General features: G+C 34.4%; 1 protein-coding gene across 11 annotated transcripts in view; it reads left to right on the top strand.

Moving 5' to 3' along the window:
- The window catches only part of SLC16A7 (solute carrier family 16 member 7), a 193,813-nt gene that overhangs the window by 82,239 nt on the left and 86,917 nt on the right, over positions 1 to 24,657 (top strand). For 4 of the 11 annotated variants that reach the window (NR_073056.2, NR_073055.2, XM_011538990.4 and 1 more), the window contains exon 1: positions 11,103 to 11,203. The exons of the other annotated variants lie outside the window; for them this stretch is intronic. The gene's annotated coding sequence lies outside the window, so the exon portion shown is untranslated. Of the gene's footprint in view, positions 1 to 11,102; positions 11,204 to 24,657 lie in introns of those variants that run through there. 11 annotated transcript variants of the gene reach the window in all.

A 24,657-nucleotide genomic window follows, 5' to 3' on the forward strand; every position in this document is an offset into this window, starting at 1 on the left:
CCATTCAGTGGGTCTGAGTTTTTGTCCTGTGTCCAGGAAGAATGAGGTATGTGGACAAATGGAGGGTGAGCAAGGTGAAGAGGAGTTTTATTGAGTGATAGAACAGCTCAGAGGAGACCTGCAGTAGGTAGCTCCTCTCTGCAGCCAGCTTGTCCCGATGAGTGTTCAGCTCTTAGCAGAGAGGATACCCTGAAATGGGTAACTCTTCTCTGCGGCTGGTAGTTCCGATGTCTGCTCAGCTCTTTTCAGAGAGGAGACTCTGGAGTGAGTAACTCTTCTACGCAGGCAGGTTGTCCCATCGTCTCTTTGAGTCTAGCTGAGTCCAGGGTTTTTATGGGCTTCAGATGGGAGGAAGTGCCTCCTGATTGGCTCATGGGCAGCCACGGGTAGGCATGGGAAAAGCACCATAATTTCCCATTCTGGTCCTTGGGGCTGGCAGCCTGGCCCCCAAGCTTTAGGCCTTCCCCAGCTTGAAGGTGGGGTTTCACCTGGAACCCATCCCTTTCTGCCCAGGAGTCTGTCTTCTGAAGCTGTTCATGATGCACAGGCTGCTTGTGCCAAGGGGTGACTGCAAGCCAGTGCTGAGCTGCCCTCAGCCCCCACTTTGCCTCCCTCCTGTGCTTGTTGATGCCCAAAGCCCAGAGGGGCTGAGGTGACAGGTGGCTGGCATGTCAGTGCTGCCCTGAGCGAACACACACCCAGCTGGGTTGCAACAGTGCCCAGGCTTGGCCTCAACTTTGCTCCAAGATCAGAACAGGCAGCAGGAGCAGAGAGAAGCCAGGCTGTGGGAGCAGGCATTTCTGAGCCTGAAGGGGCAGAGGGGCCTTCCTAGGCCCCCAAGAGTGCAGAGATGCCAGCATCCACAGTGTGGCTTGGGTGGTTGCAGCTGCACCCAGGAAGGCAGGGCTCCTGCCTGCCTCCAGCACCCAAGAGCACAGGGATGGCCGGGTCCCCAGCCATGGCTCAGTGGCCACAGCTGCTCCCAGGGAGTGCAAGACTTCTGCCTTGCCAAGTCAGAAGGGAGTGGGACTTCCGCCTATTCCCGGCTATTTGGAGCCCCAGCCGTACCCCTCCCACTGCAGCTGGCATCATGTCAGTGGCCACTATAGAAGGGCCACCACTGCCATCATCAACTGGCATTTTTTGTTACCTATTACTACTCCCAATTTCACCCTACCTGAACTTATCCCAAGAGTTAATCTCATTCTTCAAGGCAGTTCAAACAGTTGAGTGCAACCTTAACTCTTCTTGTTATAATTTCTTGACTGTCATTATCTAGGTTAGGTTATTCTCCTCTTAGCCCCTTAGAAATCTGAACTTACCTGTCTCATGATGTTTATCATATGATGTAATTATCTACTTTATAATTACCTCCTACATTTTGTCCTTTTATAGATCAGAAACTATATCTTATGTCTTAGTCATCTTTGTATTTCCAAAGTCTGGCACAGTCTTTGGCATAAAATGAAATACCAAATAAATATTTGATGAATGAATTAATGAATGCTGGAGACAACAAGACATTAAATGCAATGTTTTACCTTGATTTAATCATAAGGGCAAAATTAGAATTAAGAAAGAAGCATAGTAAGAGTTACTTCTAAGTGTAAAAACCCAAGGTAGAAAGTTATTGCCACTGAAACGATCATTTCAGAGACAGGCAGGATCTGTAATTGAAGACCAGCACAGTTAATATTCCATAACTCCAAGCTGTGGAACTTATTCATGTTAATCATTTTTGCAATGCTCATGTGTTTTTCCACAGTAATGATTAGTAATAACCTGAAAAATAAAGGCGTTTTCTGCCTAACTTTACTGGCATCAAGGAAAAGCAAGTTAGGGAGGCTATCCCACTTTGCAATCAAAATGTCCAAGAATAGAACTTTTACAGAGAATAGAGAGGCAAAGGACAGGAAAAGTGGAAACCAGTCCAAGTCTGTGGGATTCATAGCCAAGAAAGAATGAAACAGGGCATCAGTGAGGTGGTCCTGAGAGCTTCCAAGAGTCCTGGGGCCGAACATCACAGAAGATAGAGGACTTTTTCCAATGTAGTGTTTTCAAGATATTATTTAACCAGATTTGAAAAATAACCTTGGAATTTATAGGAATTATGTCTAGTCTTATTTCTTTTAGACTGAAAATGTGTTATCTTGATTGCTATTGTGTTCTGGATTGAGAAGGAGGCAGATAGGAGAGAAGGAGGTTCTTTAGCCTCTACTCTTCAGAATAACTAAAATGAAAATTTCTCCACCTCTTACATTCTTGGCCACTCTCTACTTGCAAACTTTTTTCTTTTTACCTCTATCCCTGAATGATTAATGTCTATTATAATACCGTATTTATTTTCTTTATATAGAATGCAATCTATAATTATCTTATTTACACTTTTAACTTTCTCATTGCCTCTCTCCTCTACTAAAATATGTATTCATGTTTTTTTTTTAGCCCTGTAGCCACTGTGCTTGACAAATAGTAGGATTTCAATTGATATTTGTTGAACAAATGAATAGATGAACTGATGACTAAAAATGGAGTTAGGTTGATAGTAATAATTGTAGTTCTTCTGGCTGTTCACCCTTCATTTGCCTTTTCTATGACCCTGAATTCTCTGTAAATTCCTCCACCAAATATTTCTGGGAAGCACATGAGCTGAAAGAGAGGTCAAATGAGTTTTTGCACTACTGCTTTCTCACCATTGATAATGCCCTCAATGGAAAAAACTACAGCAGCAACAAAAAACACTGCCTATGTAAAGTTCTTGTCCTCTAGTGCTTCCAAAGTAACTGATTCCCAAAGACCCAAAGCTGAGGTGCAGGCACCAATGGAAAAAATGACCCCTGTTCAAATCCATGCCACACCTGACCATCCGAATCTTAAAACATCATTGTGTTTAGAGTCTCAAAGTATTTTGTGAAAACAGCTTCTGTAGCATCAGTTCTTAATCACCTATCCCCTGGAACCTCAAATTTTCCTGCAGGCGAGACAAGTGTATGTACCATGTCATCCATCTTGTTTATTGTTTTACTCCCTCCTGGGCATCCATGCACTGTCCTGTCTGTCTTTAGCCACATTGCAAAGCAAACAAAATTGTCATTTCATGCAAATAAACTCCTAGGATGTTTGTCAGTACACTAGCTCTGTAAGCATACAGTTGGGAGTCCCAGCTTTACCTGTGCCAGCAATTTTTTTTTTTATCTAGATACTTCTGTGGCTCATTGCAAATATGTTTTTATAGAACTGCTTCAAAAAATTGTGGAACAATTGTTAGTATTTTTTCCTAACCAAATTATTTCCTGTAATAATATTCCTGTTCATCAGGAGATCCCTACAAGTTAGAGAGATTTAAGCATGGGGAAGAGGATGGAAGGAAACGGAATGAAGAGTAGTTCTCACCTTGCAGCTCCTTTCAAGTTTAAATGTTACTGAACATAGTATTTCAAACAGTGATTCAATGTATACTCTTTATTAATTTCTTATATTTGGATAGGGATCTCTCTGTCACTGGTTTCTTTGAGAGGGTCAGCTGTGGGCATATAGGGAATCAACAGCATTCAGGTCATTTTTTCTTAGGCCCCTGAGGAACATGGCTCAGTTCAGTCTGAACTCCTCTCAGAATAGGTCTATTTCTATCACCTGTAGGGACCAGCTTAGAGCCAATTAGAGTCCTGAGACCCCGAGAATCTCATAACACAGCTTCATTCCCCAAGGTCTTTGAAAATGAATTTTACATGCTGATCCCAAAGGAACTGGGTTAAACTCACCCTAGAAATTCCAAGTAGAATTCTACTGGTCATTAGAAAAACTTTTGATAAGACTAAAATTTCTTTACCTAGCTGTACTTAGTACTTTGTGAATCCTGTACCTCATTTATGGAAACACATTCAGCTTTTAAACTAAATCCATTGAGTAGATCTAAACTTAATCATTATCTGCAGATAATGATTCTAGCAGCAATGTCTGTTTTAGGATTGCATGAATAACAAACTACATGTTAGGGTTGTCATTTTATTTTTAAGTGCTAGTTTATATAATTAAACATACATAAATTTTAACATCTTAGGGGACAGAAGACTATTATAAAAAATAATTTTATGAATAGTTATAAAAAAGTAAAGTTCAGCATATCCTGACATGAGGTTATTTCCTTGGGCTGAGGTCACTGTATTAGACGCTATAGTGAATATAAATGATTTATTCACTGTTCATGGTCTCAAGATGCTTATAGTTTAGATTTGGAAAGAGACATGAATAATTTCAAAAATGAAATGTAGTATGGTATAATCAAATATTAATTGAGAATTTAGAGAAGGGAGATTTTCCTTTCTTAGAAATGATTATAAATAATTCAGTTTTATTTTAAATGGTGCCACCTATTTGTGTGGAAGGATAGGTGTGATTTCATCATGTGACAATGCAAGTAGGTCAGGTAAATGGAGGGAAAATGGATTTTCTTGAGAAAAAAAAACTTTGTACATGAAAGCAAGTCTAGGAGTTCTATATTGTCTAAGTAAAACAAATTGCGGCCAGTCACAGTAGCTCACGCCTGTAATCCCACACTTTGGGAGGCCAAGGTGGGATCACCTGAGGTCGAGAGTTCGAGACCAGCCTAACCAACATGGGGAAACCCTGTCTCTACTAAAAATACAAAATTAGCCAGGCGTGGTGGTGGGTGCCTGTAATCCCAGCTACTCAGGAGGCTGAGGCAGGAGAATCACTTGAACCTGGGAGGCGGAGGATGCGGTGAGCTGAGATCATGACATTGCACTCTAGCCTGGGCAACAAGAGTGAAACTCTGTCTTGAAAAAAAAAATTGCATATTGACATAATGAAGATGTTGAGAAATTGTGAAATAAATATAACATTTAACAGAAAATTTCTCAAATCTACCAATCATTTCCATGTAATACCTGTCAACATCCTGTGAGACTGGTGTCTTCTGATAGAGTGTTATGCAATTTGAATAAAATGTATGAAATTATGAAAAATAGGCAAGAAAGATTTAAGGTAGTCAAATTTTGGTATGCCTTCTATTGAAGATGGAGGAGTGACCCAATCTGAGAAGTACTGTTGCGAGATTAATCCTGCTAGGATGTGTTGGAGAGAGGCCAGAAGATGGGAGGCAAGGTTGGGAAACTGAAAGTGAGACAGTCCTTTAAGGGACTATTAAAGTTGTCCATGTGTGAGGTGAAAAGCACATGAACCATGATGATCAAGAGAGAAATGAAAAAAAGAAGATGCATTCAAGAGCTATTAAAGGGAATTACTTATTAAAGAAAGGACTTGGGGTTTTTCAGATTAGGAACTGTTCCTACAATGTACAAACTCAAAAATGTAACATTTCAGTGGGGTGCCCATTTGAAAATATCTAGGAAGTAGCAATAAATGAAGAATTTAAATTTAGGAAAAAGATTACTGCAAGAGGTAGAGAATTGGAACACACCTTGAATAAAAGTGGTAACTGAATCTATAGAGATAGATAATATAATGGGGGGTATGTAAAGAGAAAAGAGCCAACAATTTAACCTTTATGAGAACCCACATATGTTGGACCTAATGAGGAAAAGTAGCCATTGAAGAAAGAATAGTGATATAGTAAGTGAGAAACCAAGGACTGCAAAATCTCAAGTACAAGGTACAACTGAATATTATTACATACCATTAAAAATTGTAATTAGATGAGGTTCAGTGGCTTTGGAGATTAGAAAGCTATAGCTCATCTTTAGGAAAGAATTTATTCAGTCAGAATTTATTAAGAGAAAGGCCCAGTGCAAGAAATTCACAATGCCAATGTGGTGAGATAGTAGAGTTTACAAGGAAACGTGACTCTTGCATGAAACTTTGAAGTAAAGAAAATGAAGGAAATTTAGTGGTGGCTCAAGATAAAGGCAACTCTAAAAGAGGACATTTTTCCTACTTTTTCTAGGCTCAGAGAAATATACACATTTTGTAGGCTAAGAAAATAACTAGAAAAGACTGATAAAAATAAAGTGTGAAAATTACTGACACCAAATCCTTTAGAAAGACAAAAGACTTCATTAAAAATCATAAGTAAATGGATTAGCATGAGAGGGACTCCTTTTCCTCTAGGACAGAAAAGAAAGGAAAGGTTTTCTGATAGAAGGTAGAAATCTCCTTCCTGCTGTTCCCAGGTTTGAAATGTTGTCCTTCTAGTGAGCAGGGTAGGAAGGACAGCAACCTGGTGCTCCCCACTCAGCTGCTGGTGGGCTGTCTCTCAGGCTGGAGTGAATGGGGTTGGTAAACCAAAGGTCAGAAAAACATAGTGTCTCTGGTGGAGAGTGAAGATGTATCGAAGAAGTGTTAGGACAAGGAACACAGAGCTACTTTTCCACGCTGCAGCAAAATCAGAGCAAACATGAGTGTGTAGACTGGGGCAGAGTGGAACCCAGTCAGGCAGGGAAATCTCTAGTCTAGGATGATGGGCAGATACCCAGATATAGGAGGAAAGGTCAAGGTGGAAACAAAATTAAACAATAAAATAATTTAAAATTTGAGAAATTAAATTAGTATCAAGTTGATGCCTGGCATTATTGATATATTTTATTCCCTATTGTCACCAAACCTGGAAGAGGCCAGCCTACAGGTCTTTAGGGGGAGGCAAAGGGGGAAGAAAAATGGACACAATGAGTAAAGACAAAATGTTCCTAATAATTTTGTTACTTCTAATTTGGTGTGGTACAGGTATGCCATCAATCCCCAGAGGACTGTGTGTGCTTGTTGATGTGTTTTAGGGGAGACTCACAATCTTGACTAGTACAGGAAGGTATGGGGAAAAGAAAAAGAGAAGTTTTTCTTTTCTCTGTGTTTAGGATGATGGTTCTTTCCGGTCATCTTCCATAAGTGACAAGCAGGATCCAACAAACTGATTTTAGCAGCTCCTATAGCTTTCATTTAGGTTATATTTAACTATGGGATCATTTTTATTCCATTCAGCACCAACTTCATTATCAGTGTTTAGTGTTTATTATGTAACAATAACAAATTCTAAATATAAGGACTTGAAGTTGTAAATTCTGTGATTTAATGTGACATTTCCTTGGAGAGGATTTTCATAGTGAATCTTGATGTTTAAAGAATGCGATGGAAATGATCTATTTCAGCTTTGCCTCTTACATTAATGGGTTTTTTTGATCCTTTATAGGAAATGCTGGTGGTGAATAGACCTCACTGTTATAAAATGTGTATAGAAGCTTGAAAAAGGAAATACATTTTGGACTGTCTGTAAATAGTCAACTATTATGCATTATTTATGACATATTTTGTGGCTATATAAATGCTATTGATCATGATATTTTTATCCAACAACATGTGGTTGATATGATTCCCACCTGCTAGTCGTATAGTATAAATGTTTGCTTTAAGAGTATATGAACTGGGCAAATACAGGGAACTAAATAACATACATAGTTTATGAATTGAAATATTAGTTCTTTTATATTTGAATATACAATATACAAGGTTCTGTTTTCATTCTGTCTTTGAAAAAAATCTTCATGTGATTTATTTGCAATATTGAGCTAAATTGTACCAGTTTTATAGGAACATATTTTGTTAAATAGCATAAAAAATTTTAATAATTTAATCTTCATGAATGAAAAATTATCTAAACATATACCAGATTCTCTGAGGATCTCATATCATAACTTTTATGGAAACTAAATTGTGATTTGAGAATATAATAAAATTCTAAGCAGTCTTAAGGAACTAAGAATTGGCCTTTGGGAGCCTCTAGTATTTAATTGTTAAGCACAGGCCCTGTCTGCTTATATAATGTAATTTCTTCAAGTGATTCTTTCAAAAAGAACTTTTCTTTTTTTTTTTTTTTTTTTTTGCAGGGGAGGGTCCCTGTTCTGTCGCCATAGTTTTTAGGAGCTTGGAAAAGTTGTTGAAACACTGTCCATATGTTTATTACTTATTTTGAATGGCAGTAGCATTTTCTTAGAGCAGGGAAGAAATTTGTGTTTTACATGCTAAGACAGCCGATAAGAGAACTATTTTAGTGTCATAGAATCAAAGTATGGGAGCTCAGAGGGACTCAGAATACTAAGTTCTGCACTGTGTTTTTTACAAATAAAGAAACTAAGATCCAGTATTATTATCGCTTGGCCAAAACGTTACAACACTTTAGTGACATTTACTGTGATATATGTTTTTAAATACCACATAGGGTTATATTTTTGCACATCACATAAAGCAAGTTACTGGATATTGAGTCATCTTAATCACTTGGTCATTTTACATTTCCAACAGTCGCTTTTCCTTTCCATATCCAGGTTAGTAGCATGTTTTGCAGTATAATACTCTTAAAAACATTAAAAAGATCATTTAGTTCCAGTTAATACAAATAATAGTACCATCGGTTCTTTATAAAAGACATGCCTCTCGCTATATACTTCATTATAGAAAATTCAAGTTTATCAGACCTGCATGAGACCACACCATTGATCTCTTTTCCCTGCTACATTCCCGACTATTTTTTTAAACTGAAAAGACTTACTGGTGTCTGACTTAATCCTTCAAAAAGATTTTAAGAGATGCTAAGCAAAATTTCTGTTAGGAGGAATAAGTTCAAGAAATTTATTATACATCATGGTGACTGCAGTTAATAACAATATATTATATATTTGAAAATTGCTGAGAGTAGATTTTAAGTGTTCTCATCACAGAAAATAAGCATGTGAGGTGCTATGTACGTTAAATACCTTGATGTAGTCATTTCAGAATGTATACATATAGCAAAACATTTTACATCATAAATATATATAATTTTTACTTGTTAATTTAAGAAATATATTAATAAAATCATATAAACTAAAAAAAAATGCTAAAGTCATACTCTTGGTTTGATCTTTTCCTTGGCTTAGTGACCTTGTTTTTACTTGTCCTGAGTGTCTTAACTTGAGAATCTTTTACCAGGCTAAAGCTAAGTGGGGGGTGGGGGCAGAAAATATCTTTCAATCCTGCAAGTCCTGTAACACCTACCCCTTTTCCTATTTTTGTCCCTGCTATCCTGCTATTATGGCCTTATTGCTTCCATAGTAACCTTCTAAATGTAGCTAATTACCACCAACTCATGCAAGCAGCAACATCTCCAAACCTCTTTTCCCAGAGCCCCAAATACATTGTGTACATTTTCTGCATTTGAAGATATCAGGGAAAAGTTTTACCAAATATTTTGTTACTGTTTAACATAACTTGCCATTTTTCTAACTTCTTCTAACAGATTCCTCACTATTGCCTGCCCATCCTTGAAGCCAATGTGTTTCTCAGGATTTTGTTTTATGCACCCTAGCTCAGATTTTGCTATTCTGTCAAACAACTGCAATCTCTTAGGGCTTACAATAACAGATATTTATTTCTTGCCCATGCTGCTTAGGCACTATGGGTCAGCTGTGGCTCTGGTTGGTTCTGAGGGGCTCAGCTAACCGTCAAACATTTTCTTATTTTCTGGGATCCAGGCTAAAGGGACATGTTCTTATTTTGGAAAGCAAGGACTGCTATAAAGGCAAAACATGCAAACACATTTTAAACATACTCTTGGACATGGCCTACACTGCATTGACTTACATTCCATTGGCAAAAGGCAGTCACATGTCCAAACCTAAAGTCAATGGATGGGGGCTATACTTTGCCTACAGAGAAATATGACAAGTATGAGTAGGGGACAAATAAGTATTAACAAAAATAAAATCTACCAATTCAATTCACTCGTAAGTGTATGGTAGAAGAAAGACCTGGTAACTTTATTAAGTTCCTATGAATTCTACATTCCTTCCCTTCAACATGGCTCTTTCATAATCCTGATTATTGGTATTATTTTCTGACTCCAGTGGATAGTTAACATTCTGTGGGTTCCAGCTTTCATTTCCTCCTCTTCTTTTGATAATTACCAACTAATTGAGTGTCTCCTGAAGTCATTGGGGAAGCACATAGCTGGAATGGTGGAGGCAGAAAACCCAGGCAAGTGACCACGAGGAAAGCCATTATTAGAACAAGCAAAATACAAGAGGGTGGAGAAGGAGTGGCAATATGACCACTTTAAGGAGTTCATGAATGAAAGATAGTAAGTTGGTAGGAAGTGTATGGCTTTTAATTCATTAAAAACATAGTTCTAGAGTGAGACGAATACTGCGGTAGACTTTAAGACTTTGAACAAGATATTTGACATCTTTGAACTTTATTTTCATTGCCTGCCAAATGAAGACAATAGCTAAAAGATAGTATTATGTGAAAATGCATATTAAATTGTTAAGTGTCTTGCTTATTGATACTTACCTGTACCATAACAGGTGGCAGCAATGTTTTATATATATGCAATTGGTAATCAGCAAATGTTATTTATATCTAAATTTTTATGTGGTGACTGTCTGTGAGTATCCTCTTTACAATTATGCAGGAGTCTCATAATTTCATTTAGGTATGACTAAAGACAAATCAATATAAAACAAAAAAGGAGAAACTTAAAACAACGTAGGTAAGATCTGTAAATAAAATACAGCTTCCAGTTTCATTGTGTTTCCTTACAAAAACTATATTTGAATCAGTTGTGGACTAGTTAAAAGCAACCTATTTTTCAAAGCAGACATAAAAATCAAAATTAGGGCAAATAAGTAAATGTGTAATATTAATTTAAGTACTGTATATATTATGCCATTATAGTGGTATTATATCAACTTAATATAATTAAGGAATTATAATTTTTTCTGCAATCCTTATCCTAATTCTATAGCCTATGTTTATGTTTTTTTGACATGTGTCTTTTATCACATATTTGGAATTATGCTATCATACAGGTTTATATCACTATTTTTAAACTAAAAATTATATAATAAATACTTCCCTTTGTATTATGGAGCTTTCCTAATCATTATTTAATGTATATATAATAGTTTATCAAGTGAATGACAGTAATATATGCAACCGCTTCTCAGAGTTGGCATTTAGATTAGTTTTCCCATATTATGATTACTCAAGTGAGCTAGGGGAAGGGGTCATAGAATCCTGAGACTAGCTGACAAAGTGTTGAGTGACAAAGAGATAGATGGAACTAAGTATGTTCAGGATTCTAAAAAGAGCAATGGTTCACAAGGAAACTTCTGCCTCAGGTGGGGAGAGGAGTCCATAGATCAGGGAAACTTATGTCTTGGTGAAATGGAAGACCATGTTTCTAAACACCTGTCGCCAGGTTGGTTCACCTTGCTGTGGTACTGTTCTTAATCCTGCCTCAGTGATACTGTATTTTTTAGAAACTTAAGGGATTCTAACATCTTTCTGAATCTCATCATTGATATCAGGAGATCCTGTGGGGTTTTTTTTATTTGATTTTTTAAAATGGGCATTTTAATATAAAAGTCAGAAAGGTATTCTTTGGCCATGTAATCTTCCTAGAAGTATCCAGGAATTTTTCTTTAACTCCTCTTCCGTAGTGCCAGTTAATGATCTAATGCTTTCAAATTGAGAAAAGAACCAAAACACCAGAGAATCTTTGGAAACTAATGCAAAATGGAGGATCCAAAATCTCTTAAATATAATTCTGTTTTTTTCCTAAGTTGAAAGGTGAGAAAAGTATTATTAAGTGGCTTCCCAGCTATGCTCTAAGGAATTCTAAACTTTCTAGGAAGAACCAGGGACAATTTCAGGAGTCAGGGGATGCTGATAAGTGGAATTCCAGGCTCTCTATGATGCTTCCAACCCCATAAACCAGAGTAGCTGGTTTGCATAGCAGGATTCTGAGTAAGATTTCATTCCTAGAAAGGATTCTGTGGCTTTAAAAGCTTTAGAAGGAGAAAAACAAAAACAAAACGGGATATACACACAATGATTGTTATCATCCTCTTTTACTGTAGAGCCATATACGTAATTTCCCTAAGCCATGACTCTGGGAGAGAAGAAAAGACTGCACACATGGTAACATGTAAAACTCTCAGATAAATTTTTCCCTAAAGGACATGAAAATCATATTTAAAAGTTTGGGCTGACTCTCCTTTTCAGGAGGGGAGCACTGTTCAGCACTGTTCAGGCTTCCTATGTAAGGGAAGAAAAAAATAATTTTCTTTCTATATTTTCTGAGTTCTTAGCTGTGACCCCAGTAACTAAGTGCAGATTAACAAGAGAAAAACAAAAAGAAGTTTATTAAAGTATGTACATCATTATACTTGTGAGATACCCAGAAAAATGAGTAAATCTCAAGGAGGTGGATTTGAATTCAGGCTTTAATACCATTGTCCACTGATAAAAAGAAAGAAGAGTGTAGGAAGGGCCAGTTATGTGGAGATGCCTAGAAAAAGCATATAAACAATGATAAGGTTTGTTACACAGATTAAGTCCATGCCTTCTCTTTTGGTAAGTCTCTAGTTATTTAGTTGTTCTTCTCTTCCTGGTGCAGAGAGGGAGACACCACTAAAAATAGAAATTTCCTTTATAGATATAAATTTCCCTTACAAAAAGGGTGACTTAACTTTCAGAGCTTCTCCTGTGTCTGCTGGTTCTCAAAATAATCAGCTCAAAGTAATCCTTATGCTAAAGAGGCATATTTTGGGGTGGCATATTCCGGTCTTCTGTAAACACTAGATAATATCTATAAGCACGGATCGATTTCTCTTTCCTCAAGTATGATAGAAATTTAGCTACAAGGAGAAAATCATTAGAAAAAAAGATAAGAAAATTTTATATTTAATATGAACAGAAGTACAACTCACAACCAAGTAAACATGTAAGGAAATATATTTATATTTGCATACTAAAGTTTTGTATTTCAACATTTTTGTATTTGCAAGTTTTTAATAGAAACATAAGATTTACTCATTATATAATATTTAAAGATTTCAAAATATATAAATCATACATGGTCACTTTCCAAAGGCATAATTTGTATAGATATGTAAATATATGTACATTATCTCACTAAAGGAAGAAGCTGAGGAAAAATTAATATACATAGAAAGTTTATTTGGACCAAGCTTGCGGATTGCAGCTCTGGAGCATCGATTCAGTTGCCCCGAATATACACTCCAATTAGTGGCAGTCTACAAGTGGATTTTTAAAAGAAGAGGGGGTTCTTGAGTTGTTTACAAAAAAAATTACATTAAAATAACATCAGCTATTGATTGGCTATATGTTGTTTTTGTTTGTTTGTTTTGTGTGACAAACTCCAGAACATGAAGATAATGGATGAAGCAGCTAGTCAAGAACAAAATTACTTTGAACAATTGCCTCCACCATGGGTGGGGAAGAGGGGCTGGGCTGACTGAAGTCTCATACTCATGTCTCTCTGGGCCTGATAAATTTTGGATACCTCATGTTGCTCAGATTGCTCTGAGCTAGTTTTCTTTTCTCAACCTAAGTAGTCTTTCTGTGTATACAATTTAAAATAATTATATTCTGTTCTACATCTTACTTTTTTCATTTATTACACTTTTAACAACATTTTAGCTGTATAAGTGCATGTAAATCTGCCTATTCATTTTATAGTTATATGATATTAACACTTTTTATGAATGTACAATTTATACATTTTCTAATGACTTTCAGTTTGCCACAGTGATAAATGATGTTGCCCTGGACATCATGTGTCTTTGCATACCTGTGCAATTGTGCCTACAAGAAAAACATCTTTGTAGTGCAGTTGCTTGGTTAATGGCTTTTATAAATGAGTCACCACTACTACTATACTAGTTTCCTGGGGCAGTCGTAGCAAACTACTACAAACTTGGTGGCTTAAAACAATAGAACTATATTCTTACATTTCTAGACATCAAGGTGAAGAACCACATTCCTTAAAAAGGTTCTATGGGAGACTCTGTTCCATGCCTCTTCTAGCTTCTGGTGGCAGTTGGCATTCCTTGGCTTGTGGTCACATCACTTTCTGCTGGGCCTCCATCCTCACATCACATCTCTCTCTGCGTCTTCCTTTCTGTGTGTGTGTCTCTGAACTCCCTCTGGCTCTTTTTGTTATAAGGATACATGTGATTGCATTTAGGGCCCACCTGGGTAATCCAGGGTAAGATTCTCTCTCAACAGCCTTAATTTATACACTCTTTTGCCATATAAGGTAATATTACAAGTTCTGGGGATCCAGACATGGACATAGCTGGCATTCACCCTATTATAACTTTTTACACACAATTCTGCCGTTTGAGTATATCTTGTCCGAAATGCTTGAAACCAGGTCAGCTGTGGAATTTGTCACTTGTGATGTCAAATAGGCACTCAAAAAGTTTTGGATTTTGAAGCATAATTTTTCTGATTTTTGGATTTGGGGATGTTCAACCTGTATTAGAAATCAGGGGAATTGTTTTGTATGGGAGGTGTACTTCCAATTCTTCATAGATAATTATATACTGGTTTATATTATTTTTTTCTAACTTGCCCATTATAAAGCATTTTTAGTTAGTTTGACCCTTATTGCCAGTTAGCATTCTCAAAGTCATTTAACCACCGCAATAGTGTAGTCTAAAAACAGGTTTTGTGTTACTGACATTTTGTGGTCTATGAGCTATTGATATCTCTCTTGTCTAGATGTCAAAGTAAATTAGTCAATAGGATTTAAGAGATGGTTCACTCTGAAGAATAAAATAGCCTCTCGGGATTAGAGTCCAATTTTAATTTAATTACATGTTGGGAAAGAAAAGATTTGGTTCAATTTAATTTCTGTTGTAAAATTGGGTGAGTTGTCACCTAAACTTAAACACTGTACATTAATTTGATGTTGCTATATCCTTTTGTATAAAAAAAGAAAATAGCCAAAAAACCAGACAATTATTCTTTGAGAACAAATTAATTCATTTAGGTGAAAACATAATATAATATAACTTATAAACACTTTATAAGTAGGATGTAGAGAAAAACTCATGCTTTAACTGTAGGGCTTCTAGAGGAATTTATAGTGAAACCAATAGTCTAAGAACTATTGATTATTTTGGGACTTAGTTTGCTGAGTACATTATTTCTAAACTGTATTTTGAAATATAAACTTCTGGATAGCATGGAATATTGGTAAGACTTCATAGAATGGAGGCATGCTGGTTTAGGTTTCAAAAGTTGAAGAAAGATTATTCACAAAATAAATAAAGGAACATTCTAATATTTTATGTGACTGAAAGAGTCTTGAATAAAATATTATAGTCTAGCCATGGATCATCACTAATAGTTTCATTACTCCTATGTGTTACATATTTTTCTCCATAGTTTAATCAACCCGTATTGATTCTAAAAGAAAAGGCAAAGTTATTGGGCTTCAGTCCATCCCACCACATAAATTGTTGAAAAACACCTGAAGGTCACTCTTGTAAACAGTGATATTATATTGGAGCCTATACACTCAAAAACATTATGGACAGCACAGGTGTAAATAAGCTGGAAAGATGATGAATTTCAAAAGACTTTGAAGGATAGTTGTAGTTTTTGAATTCCAAAGATAAGAATATAAATTCTGATGAACAAGACCATCAGAATGGACATGCGCAAGAACTGAAATCTGGAAATTCCCAGAGGAATAAAATCGAAGAAGTATAATTTTATGCAGAAAAAGTTAGCTTTCATGTTGTGTTATAGTGGAATCAGCAACAAAAGCCCTAATGAAAAAAAATACTAGTTGTGGTAGCAATTTGGTCACCTACTAGACATTATACTTAAAAAAGTCACTTTGCAATTCTGATCCTTTATGCCCTCATCTATGAAACGTGATTCAAAATACCAGTTCCTTGGAGTTCATGGGATTATGAAAATAAATTATTTGTATTTTTAGAAAAATAAAAAGCTCTAAAACATTGTTTATTTTTATGCACCCTATTACAAGTAAAGCCAATCATAAATCATATGGCATGTGTGTGATTACTAAGGATCAAAATTAGCAGATGACAAAGCCCAACTTCTGGCTATAATAATTAAAGCTACTTTTGTAGGGGGAATAAGCTTTATGCCTACTTGGACTTCAGGAAGCAGTCCTCTAAATAATGGTTTTTCCAAATTGAAGGAAAGCCTTCTCACTGGCTTAAGGATTGTTGGTTTTCTACAGGCTTTGTAGTCAGACACACAAACTCTAAAACACTACCTTTTTAAAAAAACTTTTAAACCACTTTAATGGGGTATGATTTACATACAAAAAGCTGTCTATAATGTATACAACCTGGTTAGTTTGGAGATAAGTGTACACCCATGAAACCGTCACTGCAATATATGCCTTAAATATATCCACATCCAAAAGTTTGCTCCTGCCTTCTTTATTATTGTTACATTTTGAAAAGAACACAACATAAGATCTACCCTCATTCCACATGGTTTAAGTGTACAATACAGTATTGTTAACTACAGATAATATGCTGTACAGTAGATCTCTAAGATCTATTCATCTTGCATAATTTTATCTTTGTTTCTTTGACTAATTCCTCTCCATTTTCCTCTTCTAGTCACCTGGAAACAACTATACTATTCTCTGCTTCTATGTTTCCTCATCTTTAATGTTTCCACTAAAACACTACCTTTCATTTTTAAAACTAAAGATTAGTAAATGCATTGTATAAATATATCTGCATAAGTGTATATGAAATATATGATAGTTAATATATGTAAAGAAAAGGATGTAACATAGATTAATATAGATATAACTGTCAAGCAGAGTCTTCCTGGATTATTTACCCATTTGTTGAAAGGAACTCTGGATGTGAGTTAGTCTTTCTGGAAGAAAATGGGTCAATTATGTTAAGGTGCTGTGAAATTTCACAGAAATGTTGGTGAGCATATATAATTTGGACTTGTCAAGATCTCTTTTATCTGGTCCCTAAGCTGGCCTGTATAAATTATATTAATTTTTTTTTCTATTTTCTTGGAGGGCTGCCACATGGAGCCTGTATAAATTATGAGTGTAATTAAGCACATAGACTGAAAGATCAAAACCTAATTTTTAGATATGCCTTAGGCTGTCTTCTGAGGCTTTGCCTTGAAGCCAGGGAAGTTCTCCCTGCCAGAGGAAATAGATAGAAAATACATTTCCTCAAAATATAAAGGTTTTCTACCTTTGGATGAGCTGGTTACTTGTGGTGGGATGGAGCTGCTGTTCTCGAATTACCCAGCTTTAAAAAGCCACCGATGGGTCCGAAGCCTCCTGGTAGGACCAGAGCTGATGTATGAGCCTCTTCTCACTGCTCTAATCCCAGGCCCAGGAGACCCATTTAGTGTGAACTCTTCATTCCTACCACAAGTTAGACCTTTAGTTCCATCCTTATGAATTTCTCATATCCCTGACTTTTAAGCCTCTTTACTCATAGTCTTCCTAGTCCCCACCCTCCATTTCTCATGGACTTGGCATGCAGATCACACTTGCTTCATCCTCTCATAGAAACGTCATTTGACCTGGTGGCTGTGTTGCCTTTGTTCAGCACTTTAGAATAGGTGGCCCTGGATATAAGGCAGACACTGGTTATTTAATTCAAAGTATTGACATTTTCTTAGTTTTGATCTAGGCAAAGAAAGCCTTGGTCCAAACAAAACAAACTCTTAGGTACTAAATTTTATATATTCAGCACCATATTTAAATTGAAACAAAGATATTGGATGGATTAGAGATTTAGCATATTTTTCTGTCGCCCCGATTTGATTAGGAAGTGTGAATTCTAAATCAGAAGATCTCTAAAATAATTTTTGTTTCCTTCCTAAAACCCAGTCTGTCTTATTATAAGCCATGTATATTACTGACAGTATTTCTAATACTTATATTTTAATTTTTTATTTTCATTGTCAGTGGATATTTAATTTATTTAATTGAATTTTAGAGAAAATTATTTAAATGAGTATAGGTAATTATTTAAGTGACAGATAGTGAATGCCAATAAGAATTTTCTTTCTTATAATAATAGGCTTGTAATCTACTGTTTTTTTCAACAAAACCTAATTTTTTTAATCTTATACTTTTTATTTTAATTTTTTCTCATGCGCATGTTTGGTCATTTTAGTCATATCTTAGTTCTATTATTATATTGACGAAGATATATTCAATTTTGCTAATTATTAAAAGATGTTCAAAATTTATTGAGGTGATTTAAAGGCAGTGGCTCTAATTAGGCTTATTGAATTCAAATATGCATGTAACAATTTGTTTTCTATTTCTTTAGATAATCCAAAATCTACTCTACATCTTTTCCTTTGTATTGCCTTCAAATATCACTCTTCAAAGTTTAGTGACTAGGCTTAAAGATTCCACATATAATCCAAAGAAATCTGTTCAAGTGGACATCTATCAACACGTAAAACTATACTTTTAACTCTGTTTTTCTTGGCTGTGCTTACAAGCTGTGCTTGTTAAAAGAAATAAGACACAACAGATATAAATTGTATGAAAATGTTACAGAATTGGGCATAGGAAAAAAAGGCATGAAGCCAGAGTGTGTATGACTTGAATCTTGACAATTGGTCAACTCAAGAGTCACTAATGAGGAAGAGGTGACAGTGTTGGAATTGGAATTTTTGGAATTGATTGGTTCTGGGTCTCTTTTCTAATGGATCAGTTAAGAGATCATAAGATGTCATTTTATATGAAGAAAAACAAAATAAGTAGTAGATAAGAAAATGAAGAAGTATGTGAGTGGCGCCTTGCACCCTGGAACCCATAGTTATCATTCAAATCAAGGAAATATGCTGAAAACAGAAAGTAAAATTTCATATAAATGAGAAATAAATTGATGAACTATGGAAAAACAAGTAATACAAAACAGAAAAGATTAAGGAGAAAAAACGCTTAATCATATGTTTTTTATTTAAAGGCAAGGAAACTTTTGAAAGGAATGATTTGTGTAGCATCTGAGAAAATAGCTTCACTTTTATAACAAAGCAGGAACAATTTAAGTAGTTGACAATTCAGAGAACTAACATACAGTACATTAGAAAAACATGAATTTAATAGGGAATATAAATCAGAATTCCTAGGTGATATTCCTTCAGGCCAGAATGTAGAGAAATGTGAAACAGTTGATTATCTATGGAAGGCTGATGTGCAGGTCACTTATTGTCATTCAGAACCATTAACGAAAGAACACTTGTGCATTAAAATATGTCTGGGGATATGATTGATACTTAGAGGAGGATATGTAGTTGTGTGTATGCATGTGCACACGCACGTGGGTGCACATGTGTATGTGAGTTTGAGATAGAAAAATGGGAAGAGTTGAAGGAAAAGGCTGGTAGTATATGCTATTACTATCCATTTTTACTTCTTTCCGTTTTTCTGATGCTTCCATTTTTAGTCCTTTTCTGAATTTGGATGGTGGCCTCATCATTTACTTGTATATACTGTAGTCAAGATATATTTAGCAAATATTCCTTTCCTTTACTTTTCATTTAGGATGTTATCTAAAGCCAACCTCGTCTCAGGCACTTATACTATAATTGCTACCAGCATTTGCCTTGATATTGCTGCCCCTGTCTAGAAAAGACTGTTAAAAAAAAAAAAAGTCTGCCTCAAACAAACATATATGGGCCTAACATTTTATTTTGGTTTATTTCTGTTTATCTTTGTTACAAAACAAAACCTGAAACTTCATACTTACAGAGATAAAATGACAGCAGATGGCATAATGGGTGAAATGTTTTCTTTTTCCAATTTCAAATATTTATAGCTATTTATTGATCAATTTATCTTTTATTTACCCTATTATATGCTAATAACTATACTGAGAACTTGGGGTACAATAATTGACTTGTTATCTTAGACTCTGATGGGAAAGATGGGTAGTAAATAAATCAGTAGAAATGTTATTTGAAGGCAACAATATTGTAGATGTTTCCAAATTATTCATTGGGAGAATCAGGAATTTGGAGCAAAAATCTATGTTTTCCTACGATTCAAATTGAAATCAGAACTATAAGAAAAGTACTTATTACAATAGCTTATAATATTGAGATAAGAATCTAAACAGTCCTGAATTTTTATGAAATAATTTATAGAATATTAACTAGGGAAATATTGTTAAAACTGATTATGCAACTATTTATGATTTTAAAGAAATCCAAATAAATGAGATATTCAAATCTTAGAACTGTACTTCTATATAGCACATTTTTATTAAATTTATATACATAAATATATACACACATTGAATATACATATATACAGGTAAATATTTACTGCATTTGTTGTTTCTTCAATTCTAAGAAGCACATATTTCACATTTTAACATCTTTGAAATGAAGATGTCTTACACTGGATGGCATCTTATGATCATTGTTGCTAAGGTGGCAGGAATGGCAGAGTCATGGCCTATGCCTATTAATTGTTTCTGATCATGATTGTACAGTTTCAGTCTTTTGATATTTCAGTCAATAAACCGTTTGTGGACCATTAGAGGAAGGAATATAAGTTCCGTTGTTCACTGAATATCTTCTGTTGATATTTTCTGGTAAGATGAAGAACATCAGTGTCAAAATTTAAAATGGCATAAGCAGCTTGAAAGAAATTCCTAGAGACAGTAATGGAGTACTCTGTAGAAATGCCAAACCATGGATGCTCTTTATAGGCCAGAGGAGGATATTGTGTAAGAAAACACAGCTATTGCAAACTGTGATTCAAAAAGTGATTCAGAAGAATCATAATCCGATTGTGAAAATATTTAGCAATACCTAATGAGTTAGAAGTTGTTTTCTTTTAGTACATATTTATACACGTAATTTTGATATAACTTAAAATTGTTGTCATTTTCAATTGGATAAAATGTATTATGTAAACATGTATAACTGAAGCTATAGCAGAGTATTCACCAGTATGTTTACATAGTTTACTCTAGTGTTAGGATTGTGGGTGATTTGCATGTTTTTCTTTACGTATTTTTTTATTTTTAAAATTTTAAATTACTAATTAGTATTTATATCTTTGGCAAATGATAAATAGTTATTGATTTTAATCTTTAAGTGAAAATTTATTTTAAATGTGTAGGGTAATTACTGAAGTATAAATATGATGCCTAAACTTCCAAATTTTAGAAGGACAAGTTGGAAGCTTTTTTCCTTTGGTGTAAGCATAACTAGTAAAATAAAAGAACTGATATTTAAAGAACAGAATGGCTCTAACTACATGAAAAGATACTCAAAATTATTAGTAATCACAGAATGCAAATTAAAACTACAATGAATTTTTTCATGTCTACTGCATTAGAAAAAATTTTAAAATTATGCATTGGTCAGGATATGTGACAAGGAGAACTCTTATGCACTGCTGGTTTCAGTGTAAATTTCTACAATAAATCTTCTATAATTCCTGTCCAGTATCTCTGAAGAATTATTTGCACAAATGCCCCAAGAGAGGAAAGTACAGGAATGTTCATAGGAGTATAATGACATCTAACTGGAGACAGTCCAAATCTCTATACATAGTTATGGGTTACATATAGATATAGATACATACACATGTATATTCAGAAATGACATATGGTCAATCCTTATTATGAGTGGTTCCATATTTGTAAATTTGCATATCCACAGAAATTTGTGATTCACAGCACTTTTGCAATCATTTGCTGACATGCACAGAACAGCAAAAAAATTTGTTATGCAACACTTACATTCCCAGCTGAAGTCAAACAAGGCAAGACCCTGCCTTCTGGTTTTAGTTTTCTCTCATACTGTAAACCAGTATTCTTTTTATAGTCTAATACCATGTTTTTCACATTTTGTGCTTTTTGCTGGTGATCTTGCTGTTTAAAATGGTCCCTAAGAGTAATGCTGAAGTGCTTTCTAGCATTCCTCAGTACAAGAAAACTGTGAAGTGTTTTATAGAAAAAATACTTGTGTTAGATAAGCTTCATCCAGACATGAGTTACAGCGCTATTCGCTGTAAGTTCAATGTCAGTGAATCAGCAATATGTATTAAGTAAGGTGTCTTTAAACAGAAACACACATAAAACAAGGTTTTGTATTGATTGGTTGATGAAAATGTGATCAGAGTCTCACAGAAACCTATCCTTGTTTTTCTACTATGTGCAGCGGTTCAGCATTTGGTAATTCAGTGTTCATGGTGACTTTACAGAACACAGCTTCCATGAATAATGAGAATCAACTGTACTCTGTGACATCAGATTTATAAGTCTATGTGCATCATGTCTGAATCTAAAATTATAATATTAAATTTAAAAACTGTTTCCAAGATTATATATGTCATATGCATATTATTACATGCATATAATATAGAAAATTTAATATATATTTGAAATATTAATAATTGTATTAAATAATTATTTAATTATTAATTATTAAGAATTTAATTTTGACTCTTTGATCTATATATATTTTAGGTAATGCAAATTTTATATAAAATGTAATATATTTAGTTTATGTATTACATATAAATTTAGGAACACATACACATATACATATACACACGTACATATATGGTAAAAGTATAAATAAAATTAAGTTAAAAGCCATCATACAATTCGGGATAGTTGTTGCCTTTTGGTAGAGAAAGAGTGATGTGGTCAGAGAGGAACACACAGAGGTGTTTAGATTAAAAATGGCTATTGCTATTTTCTGAAGATCCTAAAATTATTTCATATTTTTAGAGAAACTCTGGAGGATTTCACATTCAGCCCCAACTATGACTTATTGAACACTTAACTATGTACAGATGACTAATCTGAGGCAAGCATACATTATTTCATTTAATTCTTATATTACTCTTGTGAGGTAGGTACTCCATGCAATTTTTTTCGACGCTCAAGATGAGATCGTCATGCAAAGTTCACTTTAAGATTTGGCTTTTAAAAGTTATAGCTTCTACATTAAATGTAATAAAAGACATGTAATTTGGAAAGCCACATATATATTTTTTCTCTTCAAAAATGTAATTTTAAGATCTTCACTCATCTTCATTTTATGTATAATTTTAAGAAAAATTAGGATGATAGGTAAATTTGTCTAGTACGTATTAGTCATGCCATTTACATGTAGTCTTCTGTCAATGCTCTTAATTACCTTGTAAACTAAATATAGTTATTAACCTGTTTTTACAGATGAAACCACAGACTCAGTTTTATTACTTTACTAAGTGTTACAGAGTAAATGATGGAGCCAGTATTCGTAGCATTTGAAGCTCTTATGCTTAATTTTCATGCCACAAGATGAAACCATGTAAAGGAAAATAGGCTTAAATTTACAATTTCATAATAAACTAGAATTTTAGAAAATAGAATTGTGTATATGTGTGTGTGTGTGTACATTCTGTCTTCTATTTTATTCTTTGTATAGGAGCAAACCAAGTAGAATGCTTTTAAAGGGTCTATAAGTTCAAATTATTTTAATATAAGAGTGATACATTTCTTAAGGGGGGCATATTTAAATGCTGGGAAAATTCTAATTCATAGAATTTATACTAGTGTTGACACCTATTTATTGTGTGAGTCTGCACACACCTCTTTACTTTCCTATGGGCATAGTTTCCTGTCTGTAAAATGGAAATCCCATATTTATAACATGATTTGAATATTAACAAATTATAATATTTGTATTGATGTTATTATTTTAAAATATGGGTTTAAGATTACTTAGAAATGTTATTTATGATCTTTGAAGTGAGTGAAAAATAAATAATCCAGTTGTATTTCTGAATGTTTACTATAGCAGATATGATAAAAACTACAATAGTTTAAACTCAAGAATTAGTAATAAAAGATGGTTTAGTTTTCTTTATGCAAGCAGGAAAACTGCAGAGTGAGGACTTTAAGCCCCATAACTGTTTTTACACGCTGATTATACAACAAAGAGTAGTTTACCACATAAATGTCCTTCGGTATTTCCTCAGTATTCTTCTAGGGTTTCTTTTTTTAATTTTCAAGCAATAAAATAGGTACTTTAAAATATAGTAATAAAATTTAGTAATATATAGATTCAGATTCTTTAGACAACTTTCAAAGATCATTTGCTATTTTCAACTGGTTTCACTAATACCTACAATATTTATTTCCTTTTCTTTTTTCCTTAAATATTATACATCTTCAAAGATACTATTTCCAATGCACATGTGCTGTAAACTCATCATGTTAGGTTAACTGATGACCAAGGAGAAATAAACCTATCTTCCAATTAATAGATGAATAGATAGATAGAAGACAGAAAACGTTTATGTTTCTAAGAAAGCAAAAATGATTACAAAAGCAAGCTGTACACATGCTGAAAACATACAAACCATCTCAAAATAATTGTTGAGAGGTGTGGTATTTGGGGTTGATTTTAGCAATTTTAGCATCTGCACGACATTAACTTATAGAAGTGGCTTTGCCCCAATTACTGTGATTGACTAGGATCTACATTATGTGCATTAATTGTTTGTGGTTAAAGCCTTTCATTTGACCTTGTCACTATAGTTTCCATGACATTTTTTGGTAGGCTTCTAACATACAAATGTGTACCTATAAAAAATCTTTCAAGTTATTTTATTCATTTTTTGAAAAGCAGATGCCTATGACCATTTTGATCAATAAAAAGAATACTATGGATATGCAGAGAGGATGTAATAAAAATGCCGAGGATTTTTTTGCTTGCTTTTTTTTCTCCCTAAATTACATCACTCGGCAGTCTTATTTCTAATTCTATTTATATTATCTGTAGAGTCAGCAGTGATTAGTGAAATCCAGTCACTGCTATTACTATTTTACTTAGGTC

Source organism: Homo sapiens, chromosome 12 (genome assembly GCF_000001405.40).
Source record: "Homo sapiens chromosome 12, GRCh38.p14 Primary Assembly".
In the NCBI taxonomy this organism is placed as follows: Eukaryota; Metazoa; Chordata; class Mammalia; order Primates; family Hominidae; genus Homo; species Homo sapiens.